The following is a 14755-nucleotide window of genomic DNA, read 5'->3' as shown; positions in this document are numbered from 1 at the left end:
AAAGATGTAAACTGGGCAGCCAAACTTGTTTATTTGCCAAATTATATTCAATATTTTTACTGAGCTTAATATTTCCTGCAAGGAAAAAAATGCAAGATGTTTTTCAATGGCCAATAACATCAAAGGGCAAAATGCAAGACGCTTGGAAGAATAGCTTCCATAAATTGTTAGGATGTAACTTGATAACAATTATCAAGTAGGTGATAAATTTGATATTGCACAGCTGCAAAAGTTATCATCAAACATCTTACAGATTTTATAGAATGTTCTGATTTTCAGAAAAAACACAGAAGAAATTCATGAATTCAGAATTCATGTCACTGAGAGATAATTTAAATTTGACTCTATAGTACAAATTGTTGTAATTGGCTATCATTGAGGAATAAAGACAAATTTTGAGGTTAAATTATCACTTGCCTGAGCTTACTAAAATTGCTTTAAAATCTTCTGTTCTCCTGAACATTTCTACGTGAGATTGTCTTTTCTGCTAATAGTGTAGTAGAAAATGGTTTAGTTATCCCTTATCCTCTGCAAGTAGCAGTGTCAACTTATTGTAGTAAGCAACCTCACTTATATTAAACATTGCTATACCTGTTTGTTCAAAGTATGCATATAGACATTTAATATGGGGACTCGGCATTTCTCTCATAACTTTAAAAAAAAGTTGAACACAGAATTATGAGTTTATAACACTGATTGTCCATATTAATCTCCCATAAACATCTTTTTCATGTTGATTATATTAAAACATTTTATATTTGTTAGGTACAATAAAAATTGGAGCTAAATATTTCATTTTTCTAGAAATTCATTTTTTATTTAACGATAAAGTATTAGTCTACAATAAACTAGGAAAACAAAATGAAAGGTGGTCCCTTCACCACAGACTGAGAGGTACCTGATCCAGAAGAGGGAATAAATGCTAGGTTAATCAAAGTAGGAGGCTGTACATTACTCACTGGAATCTATTAAGTTAATGGTCATAGTTCATATAAATTGGGGCCAGGAAGTTAAACTTTTCTGAACACAGGGCTAGCAAAATAATAAAGCAACATTTTGTGAAAGGACGGTTTTCTATAGATTCAATTTCCAATTTTCTGCTCTCACAGAGCTCAAAACATCCTACATCCACTGTCGTCTTTCCAACCTCTGCTATTCTAATACCACTTAGCAATGAAAAATTTAAAATAATTTAAATCATCAGGAAGAAATAAGATCTCACAACTGGCTTTGGCTGATGCACTTGGTTTATTATTTTCTAAACAGTGTTTTTCTTAGGAAAGAGGCTCTGCCTTAGTGTTTTTTGTAGTCTGCAGACTTAGTTCAAAGTCAGTGTTCTCAAATATGTATTGACTAAATTAGTAATATAAGGGGAAATATAAAAATTTAGAAAAAAACTTAGCTTCTTGAGCAGCTCAAGACTTCAGCATACTTATTAACTCATTTCAGTGGAAATCAAATGAGCCACCATACTCATTAACTCATTTCATTAAATTTGTTCTTGAGGTAACCATAATTTTCTCATTGGGAAAAACTACCAAACTCCTTGCTATTCCTTATACTATGCCAAATCTTCGATAGGCCTAAATTTAGAGAATGAGTGCAGAATAGGAAAAAAGCCAACATTCACATTCAAAGTTTAAAGCCACCTAGTATCTGAGGTCACTGATCAAAAACAGCTGCCACATTTCCCAGTGGGGAGTGAAATAACCCAACTTAAGAAAAAAATGCCCACAAAGTCAGACCCAACTAACCAAGGTATGACTTTGAAACAGATTAACATACGGAGTTCTCGCTGCGGCAATAAAGTTAAATACTCAAAACACCACTAAAAGAAGGCGTTTACTTTTTAATTAAATAAAACTAGGAACACTGATATCAACTTGAATGGATGCTTCAGGAGGGCAGGGGATTTTGTGTTTTGTTTAAACATCTGCAGAAAGATGATCAAAGCAGTTATGTTCTCTCCAGTATCAAGAGGTTAGAAAATAGGCACACTATGACTTACTGGGTTCAAAGCTTTGAACTAGAACACGTAATATTTTTGATGGTTATGTTTACAGCTTCTCCATATGAAATAAAATATTCAGTAAAAGTATACTCATTTATCTATTTTAAAGAATCAAACTGGGCAATTAAAACTGATATTTGATCATGACCTTAGATAACAATCATCTAATTCTTACCTTTCTCCAAAAAATTGGGCACACATCCTCCCAGGTGGGAATGTAATGCTTTGGTATTTACAGAATAGCCAGTTACCTGCTTTGTACATGAGGAGTCAGTGAACCGTTATGTAAAGTGTGTTATGTGACACACCACAGCTCCCAAAGAATGAATTTACCACTGACATCAAGGTTTACTGTGAAATGCAGCAGATAAATATTTTACAATAGGAAATTTAATGAAATTCATACTTTTAAGCAATCATTTCAGTAAAAGAAATTGTTATAGATGATGTGTATGTATGACGATAGATTCAGAACTGGTTAGAGTTGAATTTCAGCATTACATTTTAAAGGTATTTGCCAAACCCTAAAGCTCATTTTATTTCAAGTGAAAACATCATCATGAAAAAAGTCACGTCACATTGACTAACAAGGTTGGTAACAAATGTAATGATCAACTTTATCATTTAACATTTCACAAGACTTTTTATTGGTTTCTAAAAAGCAGTTAATATTTTAAGGTACGGTATATAAACAAAATAGCCATATCTGATTTTTGGCAACATGAAAATGCCAATTTCCTTTCAAACCAATTCCCGGACTACAGCTACAAATGTGGTCAACAACGTCATCCTGGAGTAAAATTCAGCTCCTGACACACACTTCTATGGCAATTATAACATAGTTAACACTTGGCCTGTACCTATATGAACACTGATCCATTGGGGGCCACTGAATAAAAATTTCTTCAATCTCATTTGCTATTTTAGTTGAGGATTCTAATTTACAGAAGAGCTGGGCCTTTCCTTCTCCCATTCCTTTTATAACTTCCTATCCAGTTTCCTGCAGTTTGTTTTTCCTCCTATTTGAATTGTTCTTATAATCTTTAAACGTTTCTGTTTCCATTCACTTTATGCGTGCATGCTTCTCTATGACTTATCAAACGTAGCACTGGGTGTAAAGTGGTATTTTTCCAAGGTCAAAAAAAGTATACGAATTCATTTATTAGGATTAGGCTTAAACTGCTTTCATTGAGATTATTCAAAGGATTTTTGCCCTCATTAAAATTATATCAAGTAAATAAAAATATGACATCCATAAGTGTGTTTGTTCACCAATAAGGATTTAGGTTTATCCAACTTTTTGCTAATACATATTCAAGCATTGTCTTAAGTTAAAAATATGATTATCATTCCCAGTAGATGTGTAACAGAACACAATAGGGCTGTCAGTTTTTTAAGGATATTCAAAATTATGGAAAACAGGTTCAATTACAAAAAGCCAGCTAACAGCACAAAGGTCACCAAGGTATGATACAATTTTGAGTGGGACCTATGCAGTGGTACTTAGCCATTAAAAATGCCAACAAAAGGAATGGAGGATGAGTCACAGTAAGTATTCCCTTAACTGTGAAACTTAAATATGCATGTACACTGATTACATTCTATTTCAGGTGCTTGTATAACTGTAAAGATATTGTATTACGAAGAAACACAGCTGGAAGTCTGGGCTTCTGCATTGTAGGAGGTTATGAAGAATACAATGGAAACAAACCTTTTTTCATCAAATCCATTGTTGAAGGAACACCAGCATACAATGATGGAAGAATTAGGTAATAATAATGACTAATCAAAAATACTTGTATTAAATGTTGTTTCATAAATGCCAAAGCTTGGCCCCATTTGAGATAAGGCATGTATTTATTATACTTTGTGGGGATTAAAAGTATGTACGTAGCATTCAACTTCTGAGAAATCCAAAATAATTACACATATTCTTGGTCCCATACTACAACTCCCCATACTTTTAGCATTCCTTCTAACACAAGCTGAATGGATAGTGAGTTTGGAGAATGTAAATAAGAGGCAAGAAATATCTCAATTAGAAGTTAACATAATTAAAATGGTCAGATGTAGCAAAATCTAGCACCACTAAGATAAACTTGCATTAACTTCAGCAACGAATTAAAATACTAATCATATCTTGTTTTGTTTTTTTTTTTAGATGTGGTGATATTCTTCTTGCTGTCAATGGTAGAAGTACATCAGGAATGATACATGCTTGCTTGGCAAGACTGCTGAAAGAACTTAAAGGAAGAATTACTCTAACTATTGTTTCTTGGCCTGGCACTTTTTTATAGAATCAATGATGGGTCAGAGGAAAACAGAAAAATCACAAATAGGCTAAGAAGTTGAAACACTATATTTATCTTGTCAGTTTTTATATTTAAAGAAAGAATACATTGTAAAAATGTCAGGAAAAGTATGATCATCTAATGAAAGCCAGTTACACCTCAGAAAATATGATTCCAAAAAAATTAAAACTACTAGTTTTTTTTCAGTGTGGAGGATTTCTCATTACTCTACAACATTGTTTATATTTTTTCTATTCAATAAAAAGCCCTAAAACAACTAAAATGATTTGTATACCCCACTGAATTCAAGCTGATTTAAATTTAAAATTTGGTATATGCTGAAGTCTGCCAAGGGTACATTATGGCCATTTTTAATTTACAGCTAAAATATTTTTTAAAATGCATTGCTGAGAAACGTTGCTTTCATCAAACAAGAATAAATATTTTTCAGAAGTTATAGTTGTCTTTTAGTATGTGATACTAATTAAGATTACTTTTGTATTATCACTATTTAAAAGATCCTAGTAATTTATTCTTTCAAATACCATGTTATTTGTTACCATCACCGATGAATACCTCCTAGGCTTATCCCTAAAAATGCTCGCTCAGAGAATTAATTATAAACTTGTTTTGTTTTTAGTAAGAAATGGCTAAAGCTCTTTTTTTCCACAATCGTTAGTAACTGTATAAAAACTCATGCTGCTCCACCAGTGGGCCTTGGAAAATGCATCAAGAAGGCCAAACCAGCTTGACCCTGGCTCACAGACATGGTCATGAGGCGATTTAAATTTGTGCCACAATGAAGAGTGTGTGTACACATGCCTCCTAGAAACTACACTATGGGTAATTAATTAATTTATTTCATAGAGGCCACCCAGATGCCTTATAGGTTTTATTAATTTGGATATGAAAGTGTACCCCATTTGGTTTCACCAGGAACCCAAATTTAGAATATTGAAAAGCCATCAAAAAGTTGTGATATCAAAAATGTATGAGTCTCTTAATATACTAAGCAAGAGTGTCACAGCAGTAATGATAAAGACTAGTTTTAATCTCAAGCCTTAGAGGGGCCCTTTGTTGCCTTTTGTGATGCAGCCTCTTAAGAGAGTGGTGTTTGATTAACAAAAAAACTGTGGCCCAAGTGGAACCCTTGACCTTTTCTCAGATAATCTGTGTATGTACACAGCTAACACAGCTCTTTAGATTCCCTGTTAAGTGACTCATTCACATTCCTTTCTTGGATATAAAGTCATTGCTGTCTTTTTATTTTTGAAATAGTACAAGACAAAGATTTTTAACTTAACATGAAAAATTCACTCTTTTATTTTGGAAAAAAAGTTAACTTTTCATACTAACAAACAGAACAAGATTTAAGGTAAATTTCTTAAACATTATCCAGAAAAATAACAAGATTTATAGTATCTACTTCTGGTACTAATATACACAAAAGGCCAAAACCATGCCTATTCTGCAGGTGTAGCTTCGGTGCTCTCCTGTTCAGGGGCAGGCTCACTGCCCGCTTCTTTTCCTTCTTTGCTTCTTTTAGATTTTTTGTGTTTGTGTCTCCTGTGACTATCTCCTTCTTCACTTTCATGGCGACGTCTACTATTACTGGAAAAAAAAAAAAAAAAAAAAGGTGTGTTCTGTTTAAATACACAATCAGTGACAAAAATCCAATCACTCTAAGGAAATTCTCAATATAACACTGGGTTTAAAATAATCTAATGCATTTTCTCATAAATATAATGTGAGGAATAATCAGTTTTATGTGACTTTTATGCAGGGATTGTATTTATTTTATAGGGCCATCTTCACTGATATTATCTCAGATTCCCAGTGCCTATACACAGCTTCTGAAATGCATATTATAATATACAGTAACAAATTAGAAACAGGCATTAACTCAAAACCGGAAATACTGTATAGGGTTGATTTTTGGCAAACAATAGGTATTTTGTTTAATGCTTTTTTAAAAAAATTTGAGACAAGGCCCTGAATTTTTCTTTAATGAAACCAAGCAAGACTGGTTCATAGGCCAAAATTTCCCCTCTTCCAATGCGACAATGTAGTAAGTCAAAATCTCTCACATACTATTGGTTCACTATTTTATTAAAGAGCAAACCTTCGAGAAGACTTATGTCTGGTTTCCTCTTTCTCCCTGTGTCGTCTTTCTCTATGTCGTTCTTCTTTTTCTCGACTTGCTCTGTGACGCTCATAACCTCTTTCTGCATATTCCCTGTATCTGTATCGTTCTTCATCGCTGAAATTGAAATAGAAATGTTTTCTTGACAACTGGACCATTAATTCTGAATGGATTCAAACTGTAAAAGAGATGTGATCTGCAGTCCAAATCCAAAATCCTCACATTAGCATCTTTTATAACATTAGTGAGGAAGAAATATTCGTTGAATTGAGAGGAAAATAATGCTTGTTCTCAAAATAGCACTAGAGCTAAGAATATAAATATATAATAATTACACATGTTAAATGACCAATTTTGTTCTGTGCTTTCATAGCTGTTAAAAAGATTTAATATAACAATGCTTTGGTTTTTTCATTTCTTGAAAAAGTGAGATCTGCAACTGATTTAAATTGTTATCAGCTTTTAAAATTTTTGCTCCTTTTAGAATTAAAATAGTATTTGTATATCTCAGATTTCTAATCAATATTCTTGGAAAGTCTTGGACATACGTTTAACATTATAAAAATACACGACTCACAATTACTACAAAACAGAAAGCAAATAAGTTTTTAAACTTTAGGTTTATTACTAAATATTCATCAAATAGAGAAGTATAAAAATAAAGAACAGAGACATCAAAGCAACTTCTACAGCATCCATACAAAATGCAGATTGGACATACCTGCATTCTGACATCCTAATTACATCTGTGTGGGCAGGGGGGCTACATGGCTAATAATTTCAACTGCATAAATAGAAGCTGCATCTCCATTTTCTGATTTTGGATTGAATTACACAGACTGGTGAAACTGAGACTAATGGCTAGAGTTAGAGGGTGGTCTTTCTTTACCTCCCTAGACTTCTTTTCCTTTCATGTCCTTTAACTGACATTCTCTTTCCATCTTTCTCTTTATCCTTCAAGTCTCTTATTTCTTCCTTTTTCTTTTTTTATGTTTAGCATAGAAGTCAACACTTTCTACAACTTAACATCAGTAAATTCACTTAGAATAAAATAATCTTTTAGAAGAATATGCTGAAGAGCTTTGATTTCTAGAAGTGTTTAATATGAATTATGAAAGTAGTAATTTGTATGAAACATCAAGATGGTAAGGAATCTCAGGGTTTAACATAGTCAGGTGACAACTATAAGCCATGTTTTAAAAGACATGTCAGCCTGTGTTCTAGCAAAAGTAATGATTCATTAATGCTATGCTTAATGCCCAATTGTACTGCTGACCAAGTTATTATCTGTGATACATTAAAATTTTAGAATCTTATTTAAAAAAACAGAAAATGTATTAATATACACATTTGCACATATTTGTATATGTATTTCCACTATTTTTTTCTACCCATAAATATGTACTTTTGTATTTGGAGTGTGGAGGCATGTCACCTGAAAAGTAACATGCCATGCCAGTCAGTAGAGAGGAGCAGAAAGAGTACAAGTGGAGTACACACAGGATCACATCCTGATTTTGCCACTTACTAAATGAGTGACCGAGGCTATTACCTATTACCTCTCTAAACCTCGGTTTTCTCACCTGTAAAATTGCCAACAGTCTTTTTCAAGACTTCTTACAGAACTGACAACATTTATAAAGTGCTTGGTATGAGAGTAGGCACTCAATAAATGACAGTCCTTGGTGAATTTAATGCTTAATTTTTTCAGAAGCAGAACTTTTTAGTATCATGTCTTCAAGTAGAATAAACTAGCACCATAGGAAATAAATATAGTTAACTTCTCTCAAAAAATGAGGCTTTTCAATGACTCCAACTAGATTTACATAAAAATAGTTAAAGTCAATTATCTCATAATGTGTCATTTGTTAACTCTTTTTCCTCTTACCCTAAAACCAGCTCTTGTTGAACCTGGAGCCTTTAGATTCTGAAAGCAGCCCTGTGATGGGAACCTTATAACAGATGGTAGAAGATTGGGTCCTACACACAAAATATAAAGACCCTCCTCCTTCCATCCCCTTTTCTGATAAGTGGCTGAACCACAAAGGTTTCTCTGGACCTGGAAATTATTAGAGTTCATTTCAAACATCCTAGAATGACCAGCCTTCTTTCTGGCCCATAATTAAGCTCCCTAAAAAACAGAAGTTGAAACTGGCCTGTAATTTTCAAAACAATGGCCCTGTAATTTGTAAAGCAACATATACTACATGCCATACTGCTAAAATACCAGCCTTCAGAAACCTTTACTTATACTTCACTTGGATTTTCCAGAGTGTAATTTTTTCCTGGGATAATTCAGAACAACTCAAAATTCCTCCACTTTTTGCCTCTGTGGCCTTAAACATTTTAGTCAAATTTAGGTAAACATTGACTCCTAATGCCCTACAGTTCAGCAACCTGAATATCAAATGTGGTTTAAACATTAACACTTTTTAAGTTTCAATAAAAACTCAGTAATATCTGTGCATGTATTTGAAGCAGAAGAATTAGAGGATTTAGCCAAATCTTCTATAAACAATGTGTTATTTATGCAAAGAAAATTTATGAGTCCTGCTTGGCAAAGCAATTTATTTTACTCTTATTTCCTATCAAGTTTTGCATTAAGTTCCTTACTTATAAACATGTACATTCTAGAGACAGCAATGCTATCTCACATATATTCATTTCCACATTAGAAACAATTTGACTTTCTGGAAAGTAATGCCCTTGAACTTAGAAGAATCATGCACTTAATTGGCTAAAGTCAACAGCACATTTCCAATTGGCTAAAGTCAACAGCACATTTCCCACCAAGCAAACACAAATCATATACTCATGCACACACACGCATGTGTCATAGTGTTTACTTACTTGGTCAATAAAATTTTATTAAGTGCCTACAATGTATAAGTCATATTAGCAGGAGCCAAAGGACGGAAAAAAGATGAGTAAATCCTCATCAGTTCCTTCTTGTGCATTTTTTTTTGGTAAAGTTTTAAGCTACCGACCAGTCCTAGACAGCTTGACAATATGAGAGGTCTTCAAAAAGTTCACGGAAAATGCATACTATGAAAAAATTATGCATCGATATCAATTTTTTTTGCACCAAAATAAACTCAGTAATTTGTTATAATATCTCTGAACAGGATCTAGTTTGAGGCACTAGTGTAACTGTTTAGGGGTACCATAAGCCGCATCCAGGTAAGTCAACAAACTTAATAAATGTACATGTTCTTGACCGATCCACTGTTCAGGTCATCTCTTTCCTCTCCTTGGGTCTCCCTATTCCCTGAGAAACAATAATGTTGAAATGAGGCCAATTAATAACCCTACAATGGCCTCTACGCCTTCAAGTGAAAGGAAGAATTGCACATCTCTCATTTTAAATCAAAAGCTAAAAATGATTAAGCTTTTAAAAAATGAGGAAGCTTGAAGAGGAAGGCATGTCAAAAGTAATGATAGGCTGAAGTCTAGCCCTCATGTGCCAAACAGACAAGTTGTCAAGCCAAAGAAAAAGCTATTGAAGAAAATTAAAAGTGCTACTCCAGTGAACACATGAATGGTTAAGAAAATGAAAACAGCATTATTGCTGATATGGAGAAAGTTTTAGTGTCTGGATAGAAGAACAAACCAGCCACACAACATTCCCTTAAACCAAAGCCTAATCCAGAGCAAAGCCCAATTCTTTTCAATTTTATGAAGACAGAGATAGGTGAGGGAGCTGCAGAAGAAATGGAAGCTAGCAGAGGTTAGTTGGTTTGTAAGGATTAAGGAAAGACACTATCTATATAACATAAAAGTACAAGGTGAAGCAGTAACTGCTGATGTAGAAGCTACACCAAGCTATCCAGAAGATCTAGCTAAAATCACTGATGAAGGTAGCTCCACTAAGCAACACATTTTTAATGTAGACCAAATAGCCTTATACTGGAAGAAGATGCCATCAAGACTTTCATAGCTAGAGAGGAGAAGGCAATGCCTGGCTTCAAAGTTTCAAAGGACAGGCTCACTCTCTTGTTTCCTAATGCATTGTTCCTTAATGTAGCTGGTGTTTTTAAGTTGAAGTTGGTGCCCATTTACCACCCTGAAAATCCTGGAGTCCTTAGAATTATGGTAAATCGACTTAGAATTATGGTAAATCGACTCTGCCTGTGCTCTATCAATGGAACACCAAAGCCTGAATGGCAGCACATCTGTTTACAGGATGGTTTACTGAATATTTTAAGCATTCTGAACAAACTCTGTTTTTTCCTAACAATAGTAATACTCACTGGGGATGGTGGAAAGCTCCTCCTTCTCATTAAAGGATGCAATTCCATTACATTATTTTCAAAATTTGCGGTATATGTATACAGTCAAGTGTCAGTTAATGACAGGGATATGTTCTGAGAAATGCATTATTAGGTGATTTCATTGTTGTGCAAACACCACAGAGTGTACTTACACAAACTTTGATGGTACAGCCTATTATACACTAGGTGATATGTTATAGCCTATTGCTCCTGGGCTTCAAATCTGTACAGCATATTACTGCACTGAATTCTGTAGAAAATTTTAACACAATGGTGTTTGTGTATCTAAACAAAAGATACAGTAAAAACAGTATTGTAATCTTATGAGACCACTGTTGTACATGTGGTTTGCACTGACAGAATATAAATAACTAAAATCAGGATGAAAATTTTTTAAAACACATACAAGAAAAATTTCCTTAAACATTAAAACTTAACACATAAGTGTGTTGCAGGAAAGACTAATAGGAAAACCCACTTAAAAAGTTTTAAGATTATGAAACTTTTACATTAGAACAAAATTCTTTGAGGGAAGTGGTACAGAAGTAAAAATTTGAATACAAAAAGAAATGTAAAATTTCCAATTCTTAAAGAGAGACTATTTGTACATTTTCTTTAAAAAATGGATAATTTTGGAAAATCACTATAGTGTTTTTAATCCACTGGATATATTTTAAGAGAGTGAGCCTGGGCAACACAGCAAGATCCTGACTCTACAAAAAATTTTAAAAATCAGCCAAGCATGGTGATGCATGACTGTAGTCTTAGCTACTTGAGAGGCTAGGCCAGGAGGATCACTTGAGCCCAGGACTTCCTACGTTAGGGAACAATGCATTGGGAAACAAGAGAGTCAGCCTGTCCTTTCAAACTCTGAAGCCAGGCACTGAGTTCTCTTCTCTAGCTCTGAAAGTCTTAGATGGCATCTTCTTCCAATGTAAGAGTGCAGTGAGCTATGATCATGCCACTGAACTCCAGCCAGCCTGGATGACAAAGCAAGACCGTCTCTAAAAATAGAATAATAATAGAAGTGGTGATAATTTTCTTTTTAAATATTAATATTTATAATACACTGGAAATATCTATATGGTCAACTAATTTAAGCTTAAGATGAAAAACTTAGATGGCAAGATAAAAATAAATGAAGGGGTAGAAAATTCTTTTAAGAGATAAGTAAACAAACAAATTTAAGGACTACTGTTCAAGGTAATGGGAAGCCTCTAATCCTTTATCATTTTAAGATGGCTTTCCTATGTACTCCCTGAGCATCTCTTTTCCAAGTGAACTGAAATTCACTTCCTCATAACGAAAATAAATTTGTAAGTGCTTATAAAATACATAGTATAAACTCCTGCACACCCAACAAACCTGTTGAAAACACTTGGTGTAGGACTGTGATCACGCTCCCTCTCTCTCTCTCTGGTGCGTTCTCTTTCTCTGTCCCGATCACGGTCTCGCTCTCTGTCTCTGTCTCTCTCTCTATCTCGGTCTTTCTCTCTTCTGGCATAATAGTCCCACTGCTTGCTGGTGTCCACAAGACTAGGCCACGAAGGAGCAGAACCAGGAAGATGGGGAAAGGCAACTAAAGAAAAAACACGATTAAAAACAAACGTTATGGTACTTTAAAAAAACAAAATGCCCACCAAAAATGTGTCATGAGATTATAATAGAAATTCATTTTATAAATAGAAAAGAGAAATATCACATGGTGAATGAATACCCACAGTATCGGGAAGATCCAGAAACAAATCTTAAAAACCTAACATATAAAGACCCTTCATTATACAAGGTGAACAGGAATCAGAATTAGGTTGACCACAAACTTCCCAATATAAAAAATGGAAACCAGAATACACTGGGACATCTTCAAAGTGTTGAGAGGAGGCCAGGCGCGATGGCTTACGCCTGTAATCCCAACGCTTTGGGAAGCCAAGGCGGGCAGATAACTTGAGGCTAGGAGTTTGAGACCAGCCTGGTCAACATGGTGAAACCCCGTCTCTATTAAAAATATAAAAATTTGCCGGGCATGGTGGTGCATGCCGGTAATCCCGGCTATTTGGGAGGCTAAGGCAGGAGAATCACTTGAACCCGGGAGGCGGAGGTTACAGTGAACAGAGATCATGTCACTGCACTCTAGCCTGGGCGACAGAGTGAGACTATCTCAAAAAAAGAAAAAAAAAAAGTGTTGAGAAAAAAATTTCAACCTAGAAAAGTGTACTCAACAATATTTTATTTCAAGATTCAAACAGCCTTTGTAAACATCAACAAAAAAATAAGCAAAACTTACAACCAACAGACTTTACCAAAAGAATGTCTATCATGCCAGGTGCAGTGGCTCATGCCTGTAATCCCAACACTTTGGGAGGCCGAGGTGGGTGGATCATGAGATCAGGAGTTCAAGACCAGCCTGGCCAAGATGGTGAAACCCTGTCTCTACTAAAAATACAAAAATTAGCAGGGTGCGGTGGCAGGTGCCTGTAATCGCAGCTACTCGGGAGGCTGAGGCAGGAGAATGGCATGAACCTGGGAGGCGGAGCTTGCAGTGAGCCGAGATTGCACCACTATACTCCGGACTGGGCAACACAGTGAGGCTCTATCTCAAAAAAAAAAAAAAAAGGAATGTCTATCAGATAGAGAAAAAGAAAAATTATCCTAGAGGATCTAACATGAAAAGAAGTAATGGTTGAACAAATAAATGGTAATCATATATGCAAATCCAAATAAACAATATACGCTATTCAATAGCAGAGTTTTTTTTAAAAAAGAAGAAAACTAAAATAATGAACCACAATAGGATATAAGTTAGAAGAGAAAGATTATTCTAAAGTCTCTGTATTGATGGAGAAAGATGTTCAAATTATATGTAACTACACATTGTTAAGTATGAATAATAAATTTCAAGAGTAACCACTAAAAAAAAAAAAAAGAAAATGTATAGTTTCAAAACAATGAAGAAAACAGGATTTTTTGAAAATCAGTGAGAAAGAAACTCAGTCAATTCAAGACGACTTGACGAAGATGTAGGTGGACAGTTAAGTTCAAATAGCTAAATATTCTCAGTAATAAAAAGGGACTGACTCATCAGTTACAAAACAAAGATTGTTGATTTGTATTTTTTAAAAACCTAACTATAACCTGAATATAAACAACATAAAAACACACAGAAAGGTTGAAAGAAAAAAGATGAGGAAAAAAAAAAAACAACCCCCGATCGAAAATGAGTAGCTTTCAGGCTGGGCGCGGTGGTTCATGCCTATAATCCCAGGACTTTGGGAGGCAGAGGTGGGCGGATTGCCTGAGGTCAGGAGTTCGAGAACAGTCTGGCCAACATAGTGAAACCCTGTCTCTACTAAAAATACAAAAAAAAAAATTAGCCAGGCATGGTGGCGCATGCCTGTAATCCCAGCTATTTGGAAGGCTGAGGCAGGCAGAGGAATTGCCTGAACCAGGAAGGTGGAGCTTGCAGTGAGCCGAGATGGCGCTACTGCACTCCAGCATGACAACAGAGTGAGACTCCATCTCAAAAAAAAAAAAAAAAGAGTAGCTTTATTAATGACACAACAGACTCAAACAGAAAGCATTACTTAGGAAAGAAAGGATGATCACATGAAGATGGATGATGTAATTTACCAAGGAAACAGAACAGATTTAAACTTCCAGGTAGCTAACAACATCACCTTAAGTTTTAGAAAGTAAAAACTAATAGAAATACAGGTAGGAACAGGAAATTCACCATGATCATGGGAGATTAACATATTTCTCTCAATTACTGGTGGATTAAGCAGATGAAAAAATCAGTACAAATACAGAAGTGGTTTCTTTTTGTTTTAAGAGATGAGGTCTTGCTGTCACCCAGGCTACAGAACAGTGCTCACTGCAGCCTTGAACTCTCAGGCTCAAGTGATCTTCCCACCTCAGCCTCCCAAATAGCTAGGATTACAGGCGCAGGCCACCATGCAAATAAAGACTTGAGCTACATGTTCTTAGCATGGTTGATGTAATGGACATCACATAGGATACTGCCCATAACAAAGGATATTAT

The 14755-nt window shown here is 34.8% G+C and overlaps 2 protein-coding genes across 65 annotated transcripts in view; one reads left to right on the top strand and one right to left on the bottom strand.

Annotated features, from left to right (window-relative positions):
• The window catches only part of LNX1 (ligand of numb-protein X 1), a 193177-nt gene extending 187263 nt beyond the window's left edge, over positions 1-5914 (top strand). For 4 of the 5 annotated variants that reach the window (XM_005265785.6, NM_001126328.3, XM_024454262.2 and 1 more), the window contains 2 exons: positions 3622-3780; positions 4173-5914. In XM_005265785.6, the coding sequence (XP_005265842.1) occupies positions 3622-3780; positions 4173-4308 (295 nt within the window). In that variant the 3' untranslated portion in view covers positions 4309-5914. Of the gene's footprint in view, positions 1-3621 lie in introns of all 5 variants that reach the window. The other variant, XM_047416328.1, reaches the window with a different exon arrangement.
• FIP1L1 (factor interacting with PAPOLA and CPSF1) overlaps positions 4353-14755 on the bottom strand; it is an 83222-nt gene continuing 72819 nt past the window's right edge. For 32 of the 60 annotated variants that reach the window (NR_164848.1, NR_164849.1, NR_164847.1 and 29 more), the window contains 3 exons: positions 12082-12295; positions 6425-6562; positions 4353-5913 (listed from right to left, as the gene is read on the bottom strand). Coding sequence is in view for 57 of the 60 variants with exons in the window: in NM_001376745.1 (NP_001363674.1) it covers positions 5766-5913; positions 6425-6562; positions 12082-12295 (500 nt within the window). In the remaining 3 variants the exon portion in view is untranslated. Of the gene's footprint in view, positions 5914-6424; positions 6563-12072; positions 12296-14755 lie in introns of all 60 variants that reach the window. The other 28 variants (NM_001376744.1, XM_047416208.1, XM_047416211.1 and 25 more) reach the window with 5 other exon arrangements.

This window comes from Homo sapiens, chromosome 4 (genome assembly GCF_000001405.40).
Source record: "Homo sapiens chromosome 4, GRCh38.p14 Primary Assembly".
Taxonomy (NCBI): domain Eukaryota; kingdom Metazoa; phylum Chordata; class Mammalia; order Primates; family Hominidae; genus Homo; species Homo sapiens.
Note: the sequence above shows the minus strand (reverse complement) of the source record. Positions and strands in the feature narration are given on the sequence as shown.